Below are 23,380 nucleotides of genomic sequence, written 5' to 3'. Positions count from 1 at the left end.
GTCAGGGCGAATGGTGGAAAGTACGCTGAGCTGGGATCCATGCAGGTTTTCATAACACAAGGGTATCTGCAGGTGCCTGAGCTTATGTTGACAGGGAGCTCCTTGGTGCTGCTAAGGATGAAGCAGCATGTAAATATTATCACTGTTGTTGTTTTTAGGGCTTTGAAAGCAGGGCAAGACCCACATGCTGAAAATGGAATGCTGGGCCTGGTGGATGGTTTGGGAACTTTCCACTGCAGTGCCTGGGAATGTGGAATCTCCTGGGCCCTCACTGAGAGCCCACCCTGGGCCTGTACCACCCTGGGGCTGGAAGGCACATGGAGAGACAAGCACAGCCCCCATCACTCTCACCAGCCTGCTAAGCAGCCCTCAGGCCGCCCTCCCTCCAGCCAGTGCCTGAAGACACAGAGGAAGAAAAATAAAACCAGCCCTTGCTGGAATGGGAGGCCGGCTCTGCTCCGGAGGAGCCGCAGTGAGGTGATGTCTGGCTTTTATTCCATATCATAAATAAGTTATTAATCCAGGGCAGACAGTGAAGCATGGTCATGAGGAGACAAGGGAGGTAAAACTGCAAGATCAGACTGGCTGGAGGACTGGAAAACCACCCAGGACCCAGGACCCAGGACCCAGGACCCAGGCCCGGGGCCTCTGCTCAGACAGACAGCGGCCCAGACAGGAGGGGGCCTCTGGAAAGCAGGGGGAAGAGCCCTGGCATGGGCGCCCAGAGAGCTGGAGACAAACCTGCTGTGGATCCTGCCTCAGTTTCCTTATTTATTCTAAGACATCAGCAGGAAGAAGAAGAAATGCTAACTTTTATTTCTCCAGGCACTGTGGCAGCACTTTAAGTGCATAATTTCTAACCCACAAAACTACAAGGTAGGGACACCCACTTTACAGATACATAAACTGAGGCTCAGAGACGTCAAATCACTTGCCTAGGGGCAATGTGGAAGAATATTTGCAAAGATGGCTGCAACTTGTCCTCTTGTTTCTGTGCACCATCTCTTTACAATGAGACTTTACCACTCCTTCCCTCAAATGGAAGAGTCCATTTCCCCACTCTTGGAAAATTTTGTCCAGCTTTATGGCCTGCGTTGACCAGCAGAAGGTGCAGAAGTGATCTTATGCCATGATATGGTTTGGATCTGTGTCCCCACCAAATCTCATTTCAAATTGTAATCCCTAATGTTAGAGGTGGGGCCTGCTAGGAGGTGATTGAATCACAGAGTCGGTTTCCCATGAATGGTTTAGCACTATCTTCTTGGCACTGTTACCGTGACAGTGAATGAGATCTGGTTGTTTAAAAGTGTGTAGCACCCCCCTCCCCTGCTCTCTATCTTGCTCCTGCTCCCGCCATGCGAGATACCTCACTCCCCTTTGCCTTCTGCCATGATTGGAAGTTTCCTCAGGCCTCCCCAGTAGTGGAAGCCGCTATGCTTCCTGTACAACCTGCAGAACTGTGAGCTGATTAAACCTTTTTTCTTTCTAAATTACCCAGCCTCAGTTATTTTTTTATAGCAGTGCAAGAATGAACTAATACATGCAACTCCCAAGGCTAGGCCTCAAGGGGTATTCTAGCTTCCACCTTCCCCCTGTTGGAGTGCTACCCTGAGACGGCCTACTGGAGGATAACTGGCCACAGAGAGAACTGAGGCCGCGCGGCCTACAGCCAGCACCATGCTGGTCATGTAAAAGAAGCCAGCTTGGGCCTTCCAGCCCAGCCCACCCTTCAGCGGAGCACAGCCACGTGAGCAGGCTGGAGCAGGCAGGGGAGGAACCAGCCAGCCCACCCACAGAGTTGTGAGGAAGGACACAATGTTGTTTTCAGTTCCAAGTTTTAGACTGATTTGTTACACAAGAATGATAACTGATAGTCACTCAGTTTCCCACCCTGCCTATTTCCCCAGGAGAGCCTGTGCTGCCCACCTCCTGGAATTTGGCTGGGATCAAGACACTCCCATGCAGACCACAGCCCCTCTGTGTCCTCCAGGCCCTCACATTGCCCCAATCACGAAGCAGTGACTTCCTCTTTCCACACTGAAGACCCACAGTCACCCTGGCAGGCGGGTCAGGAGAAGCCCCCTTTCTTTCCAAAGACTCCCTTTCTTGTTTCGTGTGCTGCAAACACAGATTGCCGAGAGGTACCCAGTATTTCCCAGGAAACCGGGTTATCTAAGTGGCAAACATGAGAAACCAGCTCCCACTCTCAGAGAGGGTGTGCACCCTGAAGACAGAAACTTGCTCACGAAGGGAGTGCTGAGGGCGGGGAGGTAAACGGGTTTCCCCTACACGCCCACTCGGCCCACGGAGAGTGACTACGTGAGCACATGCAGGGGGGTCTGAGGCCCAGGGACAGCGTGCCACAGCGGGCCTGCAGGGCCTGCCAGGGCGCAGGAGGGCAAATGGCAGTGTGCGTGCCTCAGCAGTCACCACCTCTGGCCTAGGAGCAGATGGCCAGATAGCCACGGAGAGGACGACAAATGCTGTCCCCTCATCTAACTACAGGAGTTTATGCCTCCTCACCCAGACGGTTGTCCGGCAGGCCCAGTGCTGGGTCATGAGGACACATAGGTGACCACACTCTGCCCTGCACCTCTGGGAACTACAGGTGGGAATGTTCAGGGCCAGCAGCAAACTGAAGGAGAAGCAAGGTGCACCCCGAGAAAACTAACGGGCCTGAGGGGGTCCAAGGCCAACACGGGCTCTGTGTGCCCCACTGAAAACCCAGAGACCCCTCTGGGAGTGGCAGCCAGAAAAATGGGGTGCTCTTGACTTCTTTCCTGCCACCATCCCCTCAGACCTGGTAGACTCAACCAACCAGTAATCCACACCATGTAATAGCAACAGCTGAGTGTACTGGGGACTGCACTAAACCCTTTACACACATGACAACTGTATGAAGTGATTACTATTATGATCCCCACTTTCCAGATGAGAAAACCGAACCACACAGAGGTGAGCTAACTGCTCAGGGTCATGGCATGTAACAGGCAGAGCTGGGATTTCAGCCCAGGCGGGCTGGTTCCAGGGTCACACTCACCCCCCAGCACATGCTGCTGAGCTCACAAGCAACCCAAGGCCTCCAGCTAACAGCCTTGCTGGGTTTGGTTCATACAATGGCTTAAGAATTACCTAAAAATCCATATTTCCCATTTCTCCTACAATACTCAAACCTCTTATAATACCAGAGTGACACTGGAGTGGGCAAGTCCTCTCCCTTTTGCCATAATCCCACCCCCTATGACTACCCGGTCCTCTTCTCTTTCTTCTGTTACCTGCTTACTCCTGGTGCATCTGAAATTTCCACCTCCTGCCCCTCCAACCCAGGGGCCCAGACTTATGCTCAATGCTCCAGGAAATGCACACATTTAAGACAGTCTCTGATTTCTAGGAACTGGTAGTTGAAATGGGACATACATCAAGTGAGGGGACAGGGAAGGTGTGAACAGCACAGCCAAGGGAAGGGGCTGAAAAGTGAGGCGAGAGCAGGCCAGCCTGGACAGGGCAGGGGCGGGGACAGCCATCTGTGAGCTGGAGCCCATAAGGCTAGAGAGGCAGGTCAGCAAGGCAGCAAGGTCTGCACCAATGTGGGGCCACACACAGGGCTCTGGTGCCCCCTGCCCCTCCCAGGGTCTCTAGGCACACATGTGTGAGGGCAGGAGGCCTGCAGGTCAAGATGTAAGGGGACAAGCCAGCTGGGTGTCTGGGAGGGGGTAGGTCACAGTGAGACTCCAAGCCTCCACACTCCACACCTCCAAAGCAGGGTGGAATGTGGAGCCGACCCGCAGCTTCCCAGGGCGCCCACAGGACGCCTACTCACTCATCCAGCCAGTCAAGAGCAGCCCCCGGGGCAAGGACAGGTGTTTGGCACAGGAGACCAAAAAGCCACAGACAAGTCTGCTGTGCACCAGCATCGAGCTGGAAGGATGAGTGTCTTTCTCAAACACTAATGTGACTCCTGTTTACAAACCTCCATGGCTCCCCATGATGCCAGGGGTAAGGCCAAGCTCCATGGTGAGGTTGACATTTTCCAATTACATTTTCACCATTCTCCCTCTCCCACGGAGAGCTGAAATGACCTGCCATTTCCTGAATCTTGCAGAGACACAGGATTTCCTTCCCTACAGAATGACTACAATTCTCACTCCGTGGCTTTGAAAACCCCTACTGATCCTTTAAAACCCAGCCCAAATGTCCCCTACCCTGGAAGCCTTCCCTGAGCACCCCTCCTTCTCAGTACTCACCTCCAAGCCACCCCTGGCATGCATTATGCTTCCCTGTATTCCCACAAATCACTGAAGCTTAGTATGGTCTGTGTTGCTTTTTACTGTCTACTGTGCAGTTCAGCCTCCCCTTTAAACCGTGGGCTTCTGGAATACAGGGGCAGAGGGCTGAGCTTCATCCCTGCATCCCCAGGACTTGGCCAAGGGCCAGTCAGATAATGCCAATGATCTATATATCATTGCAATAAAGGGACTCTGATGATATTTGTAATATTTATCATTATTAATAATCACTGTTAAAAAGTAATCACGATTGGCTGGGTGCGGTGCCTGTAATCCCAGCACTTTGGGAGGCAGAGGCAGGTGGATCAGCTGAGGCTGAGGTCAGGATTTTGAGACCAGTGTGGCCAACATGGTGAAACTCTGACTCTACTAAAAATACAAAAATCAGCTGGGCATGGTGGTGCACGCCTGTAGTCCCAGATGCTCAGGAGGCTGAGACAGGAGAATCACTTGAACCCAGGAGGCGGAGGTTGCAGACTTTTATCCATTTTTAAGGCCCTGCCATAAACCATGCCCTACACTTTGCCTTATCTCATTTAATCCTCTGAACAACCCCATAGACAACTGTTCCTCTGCCCTTCCTACAGATGAGGAATCTAAGCATAGGGAGATGAAGACACTCGCTCAAGGTCCCACAGCTGATCTGTGCTGGAGTGAGCACATCCTGCTCTTTCCCCCAAACTAGACTATTTCCTTGGAATTACGAACACCACCTTTCGTGGGGCCCTTCCATAGGCCAGGTGCTTTTAGTAACAGGTTTATTTTATTTTTTTTATTTATTTATTTTTTGAGACAGTTTCGCTCTTGTTGCCTAGGCTGGAGTGCAGTGGTGCAATCTTGGCTCACTGCAACCTCCACCTCCCGGGTTCAAGCGATGCGATTCTCCTGCCTCAACCTCCTGAGTAGCTGGGATTACAGGCATCCCCACCATGACCGGCTAATTTTGTATTTTTAGTGGAGGCGGGGTTTCTCCATGTTGGCCAGGCTGGTCTCAAACTCCCCACCTCAGGTGATCCACCTGCCTCAGCCTCCCAAAGTGCTGGGATTACAGGCATGAGCCACCGCGCCCAGCCAGTAACAGGTTTATTGAGATATAACATACCATATAATTCACCCACTTAAAGTGCATATTGTAATTGTTTTTAGTATATTCTCAGAATTGTGTAACCACTGCCACAATTTTAAAATATTTTCAGCCTCCCATAAAGAAGGCCCTTACCCTGAAGTTCTCAACTCCCCCCGCCCCACCCCACACTGTAGTCCCATTTTAAAGACAACAGGGAGGTGCCGAAGGAGCTTCTGTGACTTGTTCAGTGGTGAGCAGCTGGGCTGGGATGCAGCCTCCCCTGCCCCTCCCAAAGCCGTCTGCCAGGGTCTACTCAGTATAACCCATCAAAAATGCAAGATCTGCAGAGAGTGGAAAACAGAACCAGATGGTGACAAATCTTACACGTGTGGCTGCTTCCGCGCCAGGCCCTGACTCACAGAGGCACTGAAGGCAAAGGGGGAAACACGGTGCAGCCAAGCTCCCGTCACCCCGTCGCAGGGCATCAGGCCCCAGGGCCTGGGGAGGCAGAGATGGCCGTAGGAGAAGCAACCCTTCAGGAGGCTGGTGGCCTGGATTCTAGATGGGCACAGTGAGCATGCAGCCCCACTGAGAAGCAGGGACCCCACTCTGCCGACCCCAACCTTGCACGCCACAACTTCTCCAGGATCCGCAAAGAACTGATCCCCACCCCATGTTCCTCCCAGGTGCAGAGTGTTAGTGGCTCTGAAGAGTGGCCCGTCAGGTCACTGGACACATTCCCAGTCTGGGACTCTCAGGTCTAACAGCATCCCAGGCTAGCTGCCCACAACCCCAGAGGAAGCACTTTGCAGGCAGGACCAGGCCCCGCCCCCACATCCCTTATTTCCTGCCCCTGGACATCCTCAAGACTGGCTGGGTCAGTCATTCTTTCTGCTGGTCAGGGGCCTGGCACTATCTTTCATGTTTATAATGTCTGAACAGTCTTGAGCAATTGCTACCTCCTCCAGGGAACCTTCCTAGATGCCCTAACCAAACTAAACAGGTCCTTCTCCTGCTGCCTCTCACTAGATTCTCAAGTTTGCTTTTATGTCTGGGTCCCCACTAGCCTACAAACCCCTCCAGGGCAAGGGCCCTGCTTTTTCATTCCTGGATCTTTCTCTTTCCCCTCCCACAGCTAGGACACCCAGAAGGCCCTCCATAACAGTGGGTGGGAAGTAAGACAAAGTATCCCATACCCCAGTGTTAGGCATGAATTAACCACAATGTAGGAGGGAGCCATCAACTACAGGTTTACAGGGGCCTGGCTCCAAACTCCAACAAGGTCAGCCCCATGCCACAAAGCACCAATGCCAGAGCTGGAAGGGGTCTGAGCTTACACATCCCAGCTTCCTTAATGCACCCAGGAGGCAACTGAGGCCCAGAGAAGGGGCCAGCTTGCTCAGAGTCACGCAGCCATTATCTCTCAACTCCCAGCCCAGCCTCTTCAAGAGAGCAACCTACCCCATCCCTGCCCCACACCCCTTCTTCCATCCTGCCCTTCCTTCAAGGTCAGACCAAGCCCCCCTGCCCCGCGTGTCTTCTAGGGTCCACTCCCCAGCCCCACCTGACATGGTGCTCCTTCCTCTGCCCAACCATCACTAGCCTGCTCAAGCTCTTCCCCCTGCCCAGAAGGCCCTCCCCACCCCCTGACCCCAGCAAACTTCTACTCATCCTTCAAGGCCCAGTTCAAATGTCACCTTCTCTGACATCAAAGAAAACAATCACTCCCATTTACTGAGCACCCATCCCCACTGTGTTCTAGAAAACCAAGTGAATGCTGAAACTACTGGTGGGTTTCCCCCTGCATGGCACCCAAGTTCCTCGAGGACAGGGACCTGACTCTCTGCAAAGCAGGAGTAATAACAATATCTGCATACACACTTCAGAAGATTGAAGGAAGCAAAAGAGCTTTGTAAACTATAAAGTCCTGTACTAATGGAAGCTATCTGTATTATCTTCGTATCTCCGCCTATGACTCAGTTTCCTCATCTGCAAATGGATGGAGTTAATAAAAGCACATACACATATGCATGCTGTGTCTGGGCCACAGGAAGAACCCGTTACTGTTGCTGTCATTATCTGTGTCACTTTCATTTTCTTTATGATCTCCTGTGGACCTTGTCCATGGTCAGCACTCAGTACAAATTTTTTGAAATGAATGACTTTGGCATTTGAGATGTTAGAGAATATGGGATTAAAATCCAGAGACCATGTAAAGATGCAGAGTTCAATCTTATCAGAAATGCTACACCGTGGCCTTTGAGTCCAAAGGTGAGCTCAGCTGGGTCACTGGGACACAGCCCCTTGCTGTCACGGGACACAGGGCCATTTCCTGGAGTGGGCGGAAAGTCAAGGAATCCCAGCCTGGGGTGACCTCTGTGCCGGCGGCCCCAGTGGAAGGCAGTCAGGGAGTACCACTCCCAGGGCCTGGAGGGGAGGCGTCCAGATACTGGACTTCAGGACTGGCCTCTGGAAACAGCCAGGGTACATGTTGTGGTCCAGCCTGAAGCTCAGCCCAGTGAAGTCCATTTCTGCCCCTCACCAAGGGGAGGGGGACCCAGGCAAGTCACTTCCTAGAGCCTCAGTTCTATACCAGCTACCCAGCAAGCCTCCAGAAGCCTGTACCTGGACAGCCTCTGAGACCCGATCCGGCTTCAGCAAATGCCACACAGAATCGATTCCCATCTTCCAGGGAATATCAAGTATAGTCCCTCTTTGGACAAATGAGAAGAGTAAAGCTCAGAAATGGGGAGGGGGTGACTTGCCCAAGGTCACACAGCTAATGAGAACATTTACTCAGAGGCCACCAAAAATCAGCAACACCCTCTGAGGAATCCCCAGCCCCAGGCCCACTGAACAGCCCCACCTCCACCATCCGCCAGCCCCCAAAACCAGAGCATGAAGACTTGTCACCATATATGCTACACCACGTAGCCATGTGATCGTGCTTCAGGAGTGCTAGCTCAGGGTCCTTCAGGGCCCTCCCTGGTCCCTGTGGCACCTAGTGGTCAGTCACTACTTGTCAATGGGCTGCTGAGCTGGTTCAATGACAAGGGAGGTTTTCAGGATGCAAAGGGGGTGGGGAGTCACTTATTATTAGCGACGGTCATCCTCAGTTTAGGTTCTCACCATATATTGAGCATCTCCTCTGTGTCTCGCTCCAGGAGGGCAGTCAGAGAAGCTGGAGCCCTAGCCCTGTCACTGAGGAGCTTACAGCCTACCTGTGTGATGACTTTAGAAGGAATTCACCATCTAATTCAGTTCAGCTGCTGGCTTGCACCAGCACTTTCTCTCTACCTGCATGGATACTGTATCCCTGGATGATTCCTAACATCACTTGGGATTTTCCACCAAAACTTGTGGCCATGGCATAGCTCTAGCCAGCGGGGTGACCAAGGGCCCCTGTGGCACAGAGCCGCAGAGCCAGAGTGGGCTGGCGGCAGAGGCTCAGCCCAGACACCTGACAAGGCCTTAGGCTCCCCCAGCTGCCCTGACAATCTGCTTTCTCGAAGTCCGCTCTCAGGAACTCTTGAATCAGTTCACCTGCAGAGTTTGGTAATGATCAGATCCTGGTCCCTCCCCTGAGAGGCAGATTCTGCGCACCTGACAAGGTGCTCAGGTGATTCTAGTGCATGCTCAACTATGAGAACCAACTACCATGTAGATAAGCCCTCTCCATGAGGGCCCTACCACCTTCAATGGGATGAAAATTTATTCTGGGGAAGGCAAAAATATTACACCTTTGAATATATAAAACACAGATGGATATTCAGTGTATAAACAGATATTCAGTATATCTGTGGTATTAAAATTGCATGAGGAAAGCCAGGCACAGTGACAAGCACCTATAGCCCCAGCTCCTGGGATGCGGAGGCAGAAGGATGGCTGGAGGCCAGGAGTTCGAGGCTGCAGTGCCCTGTGTTTGTGCCTGTGAATAGCCACTGCACTCCAGCCTGGGCAACATAGTGAAAATCCACCTCTAAAAAAAAAAAAAAACCTCATCGTGGGGTAGACTGATGATTGGGAGGAAATGTCTAAAACATTTAGGGGTACATCATGATAAAAGGTGGAAAGCACTGGCCTAGACAGAGGCAGCCACGAAATCAGCAGATAAGACATCTCCTACACATGAGACAATGGTGACAAATGCTCCCCACCCTGCCAGTGAGGAAGGAACCCACAACCCCTCCCCATCTCAAATTTTCTCGCTCTCAAAGCTGAAGGGCAGAGGAGCAAGCGGGCCCCTTCTTGAGACCCATCAGCTCACATCTGATGTCTCTGGGGCAGGGAAGAGCTGCCCAACAGGACCTTGAGGCTGCTGTGCCAGCTCACAAGGGCCTGCACACTGAGGAGGAGCAGCGAGGGGAATGAGAGCCAACCCCAGGTGGGGGCGAGAAAGACAGCCCACCCCATGGCTTTCTGGTTTGCAATGTGGAGCCAACTAGCAGAGGCGCTCCCAGACTCTGGGAAGCATTGCGGAAGCAGTGGGGGTCCTAGGAAAGGGACACACAGAGCAGCCAGGAAAGAGCAGGCTGGCTCTGGGAGGAGAGACAGGGAGGAGAAGAGGAAGGACACGACGTCGCAATGTTACAAGACATAATAGCAGCCGCTAACTGTGCCCACGCCACGAGCCAGGCAGGGACAGCCCCCAGTGCACTGCCCAGTTAGGCAGGCCATATCATTAACACTCGCGGGTCAGCTCCAGGAGAGCAGAAGCCACGTCTGTCTCAGGCACCACTGTACCCCCAGCATCTAGAACAGTAAATATGTGCAAAATAAATAAGGGAAAGAACCACAGAGAGGTTAACTCATCCAAATCCTCACAGCTAGGCAGTGGCTCAGCCACACTTCCAACCCCAGTGTCTCTCTGCACTCAGAAACACCAGCCAAACAGCTTGTGATCCAGCTGGGTCCATGGAAGGCGAGGGGTGAACATCATCCCAACTTGGCCACTTCACACCTGGCAGCGCATGAACCTAGTGGCCCGCGGGGGCAGGCGGCACTCCCTCTGGAAGGCAGCACCACCCCTGCCTTGGCCCAGACTGCAAAACATGCCCATAGCAATCTCAAAACCATGTGAGCAGGGCATGGGAGGGGGAGGATGCAGCTTAATGAAAGTCTCATCCCTTACCAATCCGTCACAGTTGCTGATGGCAACAGCTGCCCCAGGCATTCCAGTGACACCTCCAGTGTACACACACTCCTGCCGTAAGGGCTGCCGGAACAGCTCCCGAAAATCCTCCTGCCACTCCACTGAGGATCCTGGCACTACCAACCTCCGATTGGGCCGCAGGCGCAAGTGCAGTTCCTTCCCGAAAACAGTGACATTGAAGTAGAGGGAGTGGCGCCCCACCCTGCCAGGCCACAGGGTCCCTCCTGGGTGCAGAGGGCTGCGAGCCACCCGGAGGTGACTGGAGTGTCGTGGTAGTGTGGGTGGCGTGTCCACTACCATGCTCCCTGCAGAGGCTGCTGCTGGGCCAGACACCACGTGGGAGAGGAAGCGTCCCCGAAAGTCTGTGCTGCAGGGCACTGTCACACCATAGTCACTGAGCTTTCCAGAGAGGTGCAGCTCTGTTGGAGGTAAACAAAGAGTCACTTCAATGCAGTCGGTTCAGAGGTAAGGGGAAGTCAGAAATCCCACGCGGGCAGGGAGGGATAGGAACTCTCAGTGTCACCCTTAGGTGGGCCCCTTAGCCTGAGTTCACCCATTTTCCATCCATTGCTTCCTGAGCTCCAGGATTCCTACACTTGGATGAAGGGTGTTCGGGTACCTTGTGGCACTCCCTGTAGCCCCCAGGTCCTTTTTAAACTTAGCAGAAGAAAGCAAATGATACCAGACAGAGCCCGGTCACTAGCAACAAGACTTCCGACCTTGGGCTCTGCCCAGAAAAGGACTAAAATTCCCCAAAAGCCAACAGGGCAAATAAAGGGAAGGGCAGATCTGCCCAAACTCCCCAGTGTGCTGAAGTCACCAGCCCAGGCTGGGGTAGTGCCCTCCTCCCCAAACTTCCAAGAACGCAGCTGGCAAAACAAACACACCTAGAAACCCAGGGGACCATGGGCACGTGTCAAGGAGAAGGTGGGGCTGCAGAGGGGAGCGGTTCTCTATTTTTCCAAGGTTAGAAAGAAAACTTTTTACAGGAGGACAGTGGCCGCTGAGATCTCTGTATGGCCGAGCCCCAAGCTGGATAAATATAGATCTTCAAAAATAAAAGGATATACAGGGGGTGACCTGCCCACTTGGGCTGAATTAACTGTGAGGTCATGGCCCCATGCTCCAGGCCACATGCCAGCAGGCCCATCCTCACGCAGCTCTCCTTGAGCCCAGCCAGGCTGGGCAGGAATGACAGCTCCCTGGCTTCCAGGCCTGGTGATTCATGAATGCGAGTTTGGGAGGAATTTTCATTTCCACACAGCTCTACCTCTCGTCTCCCCAGTTCACGTCACTGATGAAACATAGAAAGTGGTGTTTCCTGAAAATCCCCCATGCCCACAGCTCTAGTTTCATCCCCATTATAGCAGAGGACCCCTAAGACTGCTGCAAGAGGGGACCCACTCTGGCACATGAACAAGGCTCACAAACAAGGAGGGACCCTGCCTGGAAATGACCGGTGACTCCTCCCCATGTTCAGAGCCACCAGGAGGGTACCCCATGCTGCAGGGCGGGAGTGGAGTGTATCTGGTCTGTATGCAAGAGACCTGTGTCCACAGCGTTTGACAGTGCTACGTTGGGGGCAGTGGAAGGATGTGTGTTTCTGTGCAGGAGCGTGAGTGCCCCGCATGCTCTGCTGTAGGAGGCAATCACCTGTTAGCCTTATGCTGGGTATGTAACAGCCACACACAGACACACACACACACACACCCCTTGCACCCATGCTCACACAAGTTGGAGACAGAAAAGACATTGAAAGAGAAAGACACACAGGACAGAGAAACAGATTGGGGAAGAGGGGAAAGAAGAAACACAGAGAGACAAAGAGACAGATGCGCTGCTCCCGAGAAGAGACTCGATGCTCCCAAATTCTCTCCTGGGGTCTCTGTCTACTTCTAGTACCAGAAAGGGAGAGAAATCACGGGACAGTGCCGTGGCACAGTGGAAGAAAAGACAGCAAATCAGCCCAGAGTGTGCATACTGCCTCCCACCCGCGGGAACCCTGCCCGGGTGGCTGGGGCAACCTTGGGCCACCCTGACCGCGTGCACCCCGGACCCCACGGGCCCCCGCGCGCCCAACCCGCACGCACCTGGGGTCCGGCTGCCCGCGGCGGCGCAGAGCGCACAGTGCAAAGGCAGCAGGTAGGACAGCAGCGCGCGGAGTGGAGCCATGTGGCCGCGCTGGGACGCGGGCTGGGCAAGCGCCCGATCCCCAAGTCCCAGGCTGAGGGCGGCGAGGCTAGGGTGCGCCCCGGGCTGTCGGAGCACCGGCTGGCTGCCGCCGCTGCCGCCTCAGCCGCCTCCCCGCCTAGCTGCTTCCCTCCCGCCTGCTCCGGGTCCCCTGCGCGGCGCCGCCGCCTGGACCGCTGGCTCCGGGCGCGCGAGGCTGCCGGCTGGAGAGCGGGGCCACTGACGCGCCAGCGCACCCGGTGCCAACTGCCGGCTGGTCGGTCAGCCCGCCCGCGCAGTGACGCTCCGGGACTCCGCGGGAGCCGGGCGACGGGGCGGCGGGACGGGCCGGGGGTGGGCACACTGGGCGGGGCGGGGCCGGGCGCGGGTCGGAGCTGGGGCGCCGGGCGCCCGGGGGCGGGGCGCGCGGCTGGGGAGTGCAGCTGCCTGCGGCCGGGGATCGGAAGTGCCACGCGGAGACAGAGCAGGGGTTCCTGGCGCACGGACCGATTGTCCCCTCAGACGCCTGGGATCCCCGGAGTGGTGGCCCAAAGCCGCTTTCTATGGCTGCTCCGCCCCCTTTCTTGGCCGCAGGGCCTGCTCTCTGTTTCTGTTCCAGAGCCAGGAGCCCAAGGGGTGTCCGGCTGCATTTGGGAGTGTGGTGGACAGTGAACCTCCCGGTAGAGGGAGACTCCCTCTTTCTTTCACTATGGTCTTGATGCCCTCACTAACCATCGACCCCTTGGATCTACCCATTTTCCAGACTCCAGCCCAGGGTGCACGACTGACCTGTGTCCTAGCCAAGAGCAGGGCTGAGCCGGTGAGGAGAGAGCCCTGGCTTCAGAGTCAGACAGCCCTGATTGAAATCCTAGCTCTGAGCCTCAGTTGTCTTATCTGTGAAATGGGTGTTAACTACAGCACATAATAGATGCTCAATAAGTGATAACTGCCCTCCACTTCCATCCCTGACACCAGTAGCAACTGTGGCATCCCAAGGTGGAAAGAACCAAGAGTCTGAGAGATGAGCACTTGATGCTAGTCTTGCAATGGTGTTGAGACCAGGTCAGGAGTCAGTACAAACAACCCAACAGAAGATCCATGCTCTTGCTTTACTCTGTAAATATGTAACTAATAACTTGCAAATAAACTATATTTCAAGCAATCCAGGGGTGGGAGTTGTGGAAAGGAGATTTTTTTGTAATAACCATGGAATAAAGAATCTTGGAAATGATGCCAAGGTTTTGGAGGACCAGTGCATTTAAGAAGCAGGTTCAGAAAGCTAAAGTATATTATATTCCAAGCATTCCAAGCTACATCAGAGCATCCAGTTATTTGGAAATGCCACAACCAAATTGATCTATATTAAATTCAGGAAGAATAGAGTTCCTCTTTCTCCTCTTTCTGGTCTTTTAAGATGTGTGTTGGCTGCGTGCAGTGGCTCACGCCTATAGTCCCAACACTTTGGGAGGCTGAGGCGGAAGGGTTGCTTTAGCCTGAGAGGCTGAAGCTGCAGTGAGCTGAGCTTCAGCTCACACCACTGTACCCAGCCTGGGTGACAGAGCAATACCCTGTCTCAAAAAAAAAAAAAAATGATGTGCAAAGTCAAGGTCCAGACAGGATTCTGTGTGTGAGGGATGACAGAGCAAGAAAGTTAGAGGGTGTGTGTGTGTGTGTGTGTGTGTGTGTGTGTGTGTGTGAGAGAGAGAGAGAGAGAGAGAGGAAAGAGAGAGAGAGATAGGAAAGAGAGAGAGAGAAAGAGAGAGAGAGAGAAAGAGAGAGAGAGAGAGAAGGCTGGGAGATGACCAGGCTGGAGCTTCACAGCTCTGGCCCTCTGCAAACCCAAGCCCACCAAATGATCTCTGGATAAAATGGCTTCCCTTCTCAGGGTCTCAGTTTTCCAAGCTGCAGAGTGGGAACCCTGCGGGACAGAAGGAAAAAGTCATGGCGTAAGGATTGCCCCTTTTCTGCTGTGGGGCCATCTCAGAAAGACTCCCCTAGAAAACTCAGGGGCCCCAGCTCCATTCCACCCCCTTGTTCCTGCCTCAAGGAAAGCAAGTCAAGAGGAGCAGGTCACAGCTGGGGCCCCAGCAGCCTGCTTCGCTGGAGTGGGCTGCGGCCTTCCCTGGAGCCAGCCTTGGCAAGCAGAGAGCAAAACCTCTCCCCGTTTCTTTACCCCCGCCCCCTTCCCTGGGGCTACAATGATTGCTTTTATCGGCAAGTATTGTGTGTCCAAGCTCTCTTCCATGGAGGAAGGCTTTGTTAGGAAAAGGGGACATGGGGGCCTAGCTCAGAGTCTGGGCCAGAAGGTGGGGAGAGGGCAAGGTGGCCCCAGATTTGGAGGTGAATGGGGCCAAAGGAAGAAATCCCCAGGTGTAAGCTGGGGACCCTCCTAGGAAGTCAAGGTCTGGGTTTCCCAGTGTCTTCCTTGAGTCTTCGCGCAGGAGAGAATGTCTTAGGTGTTTCTCCCAACACCCAACACAACAGTTTCAGTCTAAGGCCCTGGGGGAGAGGGATGCAGAAAGTCCGTGTTGGCTGCATGAAGCCAGCAAGCAATTGAGAAACCTGACATGGGCAAGAGAAAGTCTGAAAACCAGGTAAGGAAAGGGTAGAGAAATGTGCTCTAAATGAACATGCAAGGTCGCCAGGGGGGACCCCAGGGACTCTGGGGACTCTGGGAAGGAGAAGCTTAGAGGGAGATTTCACTGCCGTGGATCCAAGCTGAGGCTTCCACAGGGGAGACAGAGAGGAAGCAGTGTTCCTGGTTGGGAATGGCACGAGCATGGGCAGGAGGGGGCGGCCTGCCATGAGCCTCCCAGGCAGGAGGAGAAAAGGCTGGACTAGCTAGAGCCCATGGAAGGCTCCTGTGACAGGTAGGCCAGAAAGACAAAGTGGAGGTGTCTATCCCCAAAAGGTGACTGTGGCAAGAGTTTGAAACAGATGTAATGAGTGGGCTGGGGCTTGGGCAACGGCCCAGGATTTGACCCTGAGGAGCAAGGTGGTCCCAGCCTCCACCCACGTTCCTTTGAGCATAAACAAAAATGCAGAGATTTGGAGATAGAGGGGTTGAGAGGCAATCTCCAGTCCTGTGCCCCACTCCATTTTATAGTTAGGTAAACTGAGGTCTGGAGAGGAAAGCAGACTTGCCTCTGGTCACACAGCTAGTTTAGAGGAGGGCCAGTTCCCCTGGCTTCAGAAAAGCACAACCTCTGCTGAGCGCCAGCTCTCTTCCCCTCTTGCTCCATCTTCCAAGATAAAGATGAGGAGGTTCAAGGTTGAGACAAAATATCCCCACCCCAGCAGGAGTCCCAGATGCCCCCACAAGGAAGTAAGAGTGTCAGCTTGTGATAGGTCTCTGCAGCAAGAGGCCAACAGCTCCACGAGAGTGACCCAGAGGCAGGGGGTCCAGCAGGCAGCTATCATTTGTTGAGAACCAGCTGCTGTGCTAAGTGTTTACCTGTTTTATCCACACCTGGAGGAGATGAGTACTCTGAAACACAGGAAGAGGGTCCTTGTCTTCCAACCCATGGTGTGACAAGTGACCAGTAGGGCTCTGAAATGCTCTGGAGAAGAGGAGTTCCACCCTAGCTCACTGAAAGCCATCACCATCCACCCTGGATAGCCAGTTAGGAAGTCAGACAGCTGGACCACCCTAGTCACCTCTCTCACCCACCACATCAATCCCCTCCAAGTCCTGTGGAGTTGACTCCAAAGGATATTCCAAATACAGTAACTTCTTTCCATTTCAAATGCAACCCCATCTCCCAGCAGGCCACCAGCAGCCCTCTGTGGACACTGCTGTAGGTTTGTCCTAACAGATAACCCCACTCTTCTCCGGGCCCCGGAATCTCTCCTCCAACTACACCCAGAGATGTTTGAGACATCACATGGCCCTCTCTGCTATTAAACCTCCAAAGGCTCTGTTCCTCTTGGAACAAAGATCAGACTCCCTGTGCCCACCTTCCTGCCTCTGTTACGGACAAAGCTGGTCCTCTCAAAAAAATGAGGTATTATTCTCCGTTTGGTGTCACAAAGTCAGTACGCAAAACTGAGAGTGAGCATCAAGCAGTGCAGGCTTTATTTAATGGCCATGGAATTGAGAAGTGGGAGCTTGGCTCACGAATCAACTGTCAGCAGGTTCCATGATGCCCCACAAGCCGCAAAACCAGCAAGTTTTTATTAGTGATTTTCAAAAAGGGAGGGAGTGTATGAATAGGGTGTGAGTCACAGAGATCACGTGCTCCACAAGGTAATAGAATATCACAAGGCAAATGGAGACAGGGCAAGATCACAGGACCACAGGACCGGGGCAAAATTAAAATCGCTAATGAAGTTTCGGGCACATGTTGTCATTGATAACATCTTATCAGGAGACAGGTTTTGAGAGCAGACAACTGGTATGACCAAAATTTATTAGGCGGGAATTTCCTCTTCCTAATAAGCCTGGGAGCGCTACGGGAGACTGAGGCTTATTTCATCCCTACAGCTTCGACCATAAAAGACGGCTGCCCCCCGAAGCGGCCATGTTAGAGGCCTACCCCCAGGGACGCATTCTCTTTCTCAGGGATGTTCCTTGCTGAGAAAAAGAATTCAGCAATATTTCTCCCATTTGCTTTTGAAAGAAGAGAAATATGGCTCTGTTCCATCTGGCTCACCAGTGCTCAGAGTTTAAGGTTATCTCTCTTGTTCCCTGAACATTGCTGCTATCCTGTTCTTTTTTCAAGGTGCCCAGATTTTCTATTGTTTAAACACACATGCTCTACCAACAATTCGTGCAGTTAACGCAATCATCACAGGGTCCTGAGGCGACATACATCCTCCTCAGTTTACAAAGATGATGGGATTAAGAGATTAAAGTAAAGACAGGCATAGGAAATCACAAGGGTATTGATTAGGGAAGTGATAAGTGTCGATGAAATCTTCACAATTTATGTTCAGAGGTTGCAGTAAAGACAGGCGTAAGAAATTATAAAAGTATTAATTTCGGGAACTAATAAATGTCCATGAAATCTTCTCAATCCATGTTCTTCTGCCATGGCTTCAGCCGGTCCCTCCATTCCGGGTTCCTGACTTCCCACAACACTGCTCAGCTTGTGAGTGCTGGGAAGTCACAGATACAGGGCATCTTTAATAAAGATGTTGAGCATTGAAAACAAGGGGAGGAATATTCATGCCTTCTCTGGGAATGGGCGGAGAACTTCTGGGAACCAGAGTTGCCACCTTCCTTTTTGTCCTTTCGTGGTTTGTTCTAGCCATTGGCATGGTGATTATCAACTGTGGTCATGATGGTAAGAGTGTCATTTAGCCTGGAAATTAGATTATAATGAAGTTAGAGGTTCTTCAGAGGTCAAGGGAACTGTCATCTTGGATCCCACCAGTCTTAGCTGCTTAGTCACGAGGGGGAACTTCTGACCTCGGATGTCCTGTTTTCTAAAGATAAGCAGAGTTAAGGTGGGGTGAAAAGTCACTGAGGTCACGTACACTGGGTAACCCTCCAGCCTAGCTCCTTGCAGGCACCTTTGCACAACAGGCTGTTCTCTCTGCCCATAATGCCCAACCCTCTCTCTTCTCCCAGTCAATGCCTGCTACCCTCAGACATCATCCTTTTAGTTCTCTCTTCCCCAAGCCTGTCCTGGCCTCCCAACCAGGTCAAATCCACCTGCTGTTGTACCATCTCTGGGCCCCTGCACAGCAGTTTTTGCTGTTGAGTTTCTCCTGATTCTCTGTGATTCACAGATGAACACCTGCTTCCCCCAGACTGAGTTTCACAGGGAACAGGGACCACATTTGGGGTTCTCTCCTCATTGTATCCCCAGTGGCTACCCTGTGTTGGGCACATGGGAGGCCCTTAATAAATATTAGTTAAATTAGTAATCAAATGAACGGAAGTTGGAGAAAGAACAGTTCACGGAAAATTTGGCAAGTCAAGCATTTCCCAGAATAATCATTCCAGGGGAAAACGTGAGACACATGTGTGTAAATTCTGAGTGGCCATCAACAAACATCACCAGGCTCCACAGTCAGGCACGGATGCAGGAGATGAGTTGCCTTTCTGAGTTGCCAAGCCTTGAAAAGATATTAAAAATAACAAATATAATCATCATAGCTAATATTTGTTGGCCAGCCCCTTTATACATTTACCTCCACTCCTGCAACAACTTTGTAAGGTCAGCATCCTCATCCCCACTTGCAGAAGAGGAGTCTAAGACTCTGCCAGGTTGGGCAGCTCTGCCAGTGCTCACAGCACTCATAGCTGGTAAATATCAGAGCCATATTCAAACCCAAGTCAGATTCCAGCTCCCAGGCTTCCAGGCACACGGTGATGCTGCCAAGAGATTCTCCCACCTCCACCTTCTTGGAGATCACTTAGTTCATTTTGTTTTCCTTGGTTATTATTATTATTATTATTATTATTATTATTATTATTATTATTTTGAGATGGAGTTTCACTCTTGTTGTCCAGGCTGGAGTGCAATGACTCGATCTTGGCTCACTGCAACCTCTGTCTCCTGGGTTCAAGCGATTCCCCTGCCTCAGCCTCCCAAGTAGCTGGGATTACAGGCATGGGCCTGTAATTTTTGTATTTTTAGTAGAGATGGGGTTTCACCATGTTGGTCAGGCTGGTCTTGAACTCCTGACCTCAGGTGATCTGCCCGCCTCGGCCTCCCAAAGTGCTGGGATTACAGGCGTGAGCCACCGTGCCCAGCCTCCTTATTTTATAAAACTGTTTGTTAGTGGAAACGACAACACATGCAGAAAAACACCACCTGCCTATTGTACAGAGGGGCAAACTGAGACCCAGAGAGCAGAGTTGACCTTGCAACACCACACAGAAAGATCATTCAGGGGCAGGATAACACCTCAAGTCTCCTGGTTCCTGGTTCACAGTGATCTTAGAGTATTGGTGATATTGGTTCCCCCTTTGGTCATTCATCGTTAGTTCCTACCTCAGCCCAAAGGGAAGGAAGAGGAAGAAGAGTCTGAGTCTCTTCCTGCTGCTACCTGAGAGCCACCGTCATGCACAGCAGCTCTAAGCCAGTGGTTCTCAAATCAGCGTCCCCCTGTGCAGCAGAATCAGCATCACTTGAAAGTTTTTAGACAGGCACATTCTCAGGCCTCACCCCAGGCCTACTCAACCAGAAACTCTGGGGAAGGGGCCCAGCAATCTGTTTTAACCTGTCCTCCAGGGGACTCTGATGCATGCTCAAATTTAAGAATCACTGTTCTAAACAAAGCCTTGAAAACTGGGGCCAGGCTGGGAGCAATGGCTCACACCTCTAATCCCCAGCCCTTTGGGAAGCTGAGGCCAGTGGATCACTTGAGCCCAGGAGTTCAAGACTTTCCTGAGCAACATGGCAAAACCCTGTCTCTACAAAAAATACAAAATTAGCCAGGCGTGGTGGTGCACCTGTAGTCCCAGCTACTTGGGGAGGCTGAGGTGGGAGAATCACCTGAGCCCAAGGAGGTCGAGCCTGCAGTGAGCCATGATCACTTGACTAGATGACAGAGTGAGACTGAGTCTCAAGAAAAAAAAAAAGAAAAAGAAAAAGAAAACTGGGGCCAAATGAAGACTGAGAGCAAACTCACTAACTGAAGATCTGTGACTTGCTCCTAATTCAAGGCCACCACTCTCATCTCCTATCCCCTGTCTCCAAAGCCTGGGCTGGTGCTGCATCTGAACTCCAGGAGTCTGGCAGAGCTCCAGAAGCCTCCAGATGTGCGGGAGAGGGGCTGGGCCTCGTGGCCTTCTCCACATGACCCTTCTCCTTTGTTTCCCCAGCATTCCCTCTGCACATTTTTTGGCAAGTGTCTAATGACTGTAGCTAGGAGACAAGGATGGGTTAAGTTAACCACAGTGATTTGTCATGCATTACAGAACAGCTGATGCCCCCGAGACTGGCTGAACCATGAGATCAGTTAGAAACAATGCCGTTTGTGCCCTGTGTGTAGACATTGTGTGGCTGTGGTTACTGCGTGTTGGGGAGTGCGGGGAGAGGAGGTCTCCTTGTCTTTGTGAGGAAGGATGCCAAAAAGCCCAGCTGTCCTTTGGGAGTTTTGTTTCTGCCATCCCCTCTTCTGAAACCACAGGTCTCCTATAGCATCCTCCTAAGCGAAGTCCAGTGCGGCCCCTGGCATTGGCTGCCTGGGGTTCCAGAGAGTAAGGCAGGAAGCAGTGATCTCCCCCATTTCCCCGTGCCCCTATGGTATAATGGAAGGACTCAGAGAGATTCGTCCAGGGCACGCTTCTTACCGGCTTTTCTTCCAATCCTAACATCCTCTTGGATACCACTTAGCAGCTTTTCTTCCAATCCTAACATCCTCTTAGATACCATGGGTGACATTCTGCAGCAAAGAGGGGCCAGACCTCTATACTGTTCCTTTCTTTAGATCAGTAAGGGGACTTTGGCTTACATGTCACCAAACACATGGCTTAATTTATTATCTCATATAAAAAGGAATCCTGAAGCAGGCCAGTGCTGGACCTGGTTAATTTGGCAGCCTCACAGGATCTTCCAGCATCTCAGTCCCTTCCTCTTCCACTCTGTCATGCTTGGGGATTAGTCTCATCCTCAGGCTTGTTCCCTCTTAGCTGTAAAATGACTGCATTAGCTGCAGGCATCACATATTCACCTGATGCAATGGGGACCAGAGGCAGTGGAAGAGGGAGTTCTTTCTTTTTTTTGAAACAGAGTCTCCCTTTGTCACCCAGTGAGAGTGCAGTGGCGCAATCTTGGCTGACAGCAACCTCCACCTCCCGGGTTCAAGTGATTCTCCTGCCTCAGCCACCTGAGTAGCTGGGATTACAGGCATGCACCACCACGCCCAGCTAATTTTTTTTTTTTTTTTTTTTTTTTAGTAGAGACGGGGTTTCACCATGTCGGTCAGGCTGGTCTTGAACTCCTGACCTCAGGTGATCTGCCTGTCTTCGCCTCCCAAAGTGCTGGGATTATAGGTGTGAGCCACCACAACTGGCGGGGAGTTCTTTCTTGTCTCTCCTTTTTAAAGACTTTATTATACAGATTTTCTTTTTCTTTTTCTTTTTCTTTATTTCTTTTCTTTTTTTTCATTTTTTTTTTTTTTTTTTTTGAGAGAGTCTTGCTCTGTTGCCCAGGCTGGAGTGCAATAGTGTTGTTTCAGCTCGCTGCAACCTCCACCTCCTGGGTTCAAGCCATTCTCCTGCCCTCAGCCTCCTAAGTAGCTGGGATTACAGGCACTCACCACCATGCCCAGCTAGTTGTTTTGTATTTTTTGCAGAGATGGGGTTTCACCATGTTGGCCAGGCTGATCTCGAACTCCTGACCTCAGGTGATCCACCCACCTCGGCCTCCCAAAGTTCTGGGATTAAAGGAGTAAGCCACCGAGGCTGGCTGTGACTTTATTATACAGATTTTTAAACATAAACAAAGGAAGACAAAAGAGTATAGAGGCCCCTTCCCCCAATTCCATCACCCAGCTTCAGTCATTATGCCCATATGGCCAGCTCCGTGTCATCCTTACCCCTTCCCTCCACACCCGAGGTCATTTTAGAGCAAACCCCCTACATTATCTCCCATTTAGTATCAGCAGCTAGTAGATAAAAACTCTCTCTTCTTTAAAAACAAAATCAAAACAACATCAACAACAACGAAAACCATGTCTTTGTCACACCTAGCAAAATTAACAATAATTCCTTAAAATCATCTTGCATCTGATCATTGTTCAAATTTCCCCAACTGTCACAAACATTTTTGTCTTGTTTGGTTTTTAAGACTTGGTTTGGGCCAGATGCGGTGGCTCATGCCTGTAATCCCAATACTTTGGGAGGCTGAGGCGGGTGGATTGCTTGAGATCAGGAGTTCAAGACCAGCCTGGCCAACATGGTGAAACCCTGTCTCTACTAAAAATACAAAATTAGCCAGGCGTGCTGGTGGGTGCCTATAATCCAAGCTACTCAGGAGGCTGAGGCAGGAGAATCACTTGAACCCAGTAAGCAGAGGTTACAGTGAGAGGAGATCCTGCCACTGCAGTCCAGTCTCGATGACACAGCAAGACTCTGTCTCAAAAAAAGACTTGATTTGTTCAAGTGGGTATCCAAGCAAAGTCCATACATCTCATCTGGCCAGTATACCTCAGAAGTCTCCTTTCATCTATACCATAAGTGGGCAAACTACACCTGGGGCCCAGTGAGCCCGCCGTGTGTTTTTGTAAATCAGCTTCATGGGAACGCAGCCGCCTCTGCTTGTTTATGTGTTCCATGGTTCATTCCTGCTAGAGGCGGAGTTGAGCAGTTACTGCCGAGACAGTACGGCCCACAAAGCCTAAAATATTTACTGCTTGGAATTTGGCAGAAAAAATCTGCTAACCCCTCATCTAAACAGTTTCTCTCTCTCCCTCTCTTCCCCTCCCCAACATCTTTTTTTTTTTAAGTCAAGAAAACCAAGACATTTGTCCTACAGAATTCCCCACATTCCTGTGTCCCTTTTGAAGAATAAGGTGAGGCTTCAGGGACCCCCCAGCGGCAGAGTCACCCTCAAGTGTTACTGTCCAGACCCCCCACCAGCCCATGCCTTGGCCAGTTCCTGATGAGGGCTGAGCCCCCTCTTTGGAAACATATGGCTGCTCATACGAAGATAAGCAAAGTCGGGTTTCTATCAGAAAGAGGGGAAGGAAGTGAATGGTTACTAGTTGGGAAACCAGGATGGTTCCAATCTTTCAAAATGGGCCAACTTA

General features: G+C 51.8%; 1 protein-coding gene across 8 annotated transcripts in view, besides 3 other annotated features; it reads right to left on the bottom strand.

Annotated features, from left to right (window-relative positions):
• ADAMTS14 (ADAM metallopeptidase with thrombospondin type 1 motif 14) overlaps positions 1-12,973 on the bottom strand; it is an 89,936-nt gene extending 76,963 nt beyond the window's left edge. For all 8 annotated transcript variants that reach the window (XR_001747025.2, NM_139155.3, XM_011539300.3 and 5 more), the window contains exons 1-2: positions 12,595-12,973; positions 10,484-10,923 (exon numbers count right to left, since the gene is read on the bottom strand). Coding sequence is in view for 7 of the 8 variants with exons in the window: in NM_139155.3 (NP_631894.2) it covers positions 10,484-10,923; positions 12,595-12,676 (522 nt within the window). In the remaining variant the exon portion in view is untranslated. The remainder of the gene's footprint in view (positions 1-10,483; positions 10,924-12,594) is intronic.
• Positions 2,025-2,870: an enhancer, noted in NCBI's record as "H3K4me1 hESC enhancer chr10:72442365-72443210 (GRCh37/hg19 assembly coordinates)". NCBI's record gives its function as "activates a minimal SCP1, AML or CMV promoter by ChIP-STARR-seq in naive H9 embryonic stem cells {active_cell/tissue: H9 hESC(naive)}" and the evidence as "EXISTENCE:reporter gene assay evidence [ECO:0000049][PMID:30033119]".
• Positions 14,092-14,386: a silencer, noted in NCBI's record as "tiled region #4371; HepG2 Repressive non-DNase unmatched - State 22:ReprW". NCBI's record gives its function as "represses a minimal TATA promoter and a strong SV40 promoter by Sharpr-MPRA in HepG2 cells {active_cell/tissue: HepG2}" and the evidence as "EXISTENCE:reporter gene assay evidence [ECO:0000049][PMID:27701403]".
• Positions 17,717-18,372: a transcriptional cis regulatory region, noted in NCBI's record as "candidate enhancer chr10.2252 targeted for multiplex CRISPR interference". NCBI's record gives its function as "positively regulates ADAMTS14 gene expression in K562 cells {active_cell/tissue: K562}" and the evidence as "EXISTENCE:mutant phenotype evidence [ECO:0000015][PMID:30612741]".

Source organism: Homo sapiens, chromosome 10 (genome assembly GCF_000001405.40).
Source record: "Homo sapiens chromosome 10, GRCh38.p14 Primary Assembly".
Lineage (NCBI taxonomy): Eukaryota > Metazoa > Chordata > Mammalia > Primates > Hominidae > Homo > Homo sapiens.
This window is presented reverse-complemented; position numbering and strand designations above follow the sequence as displayed.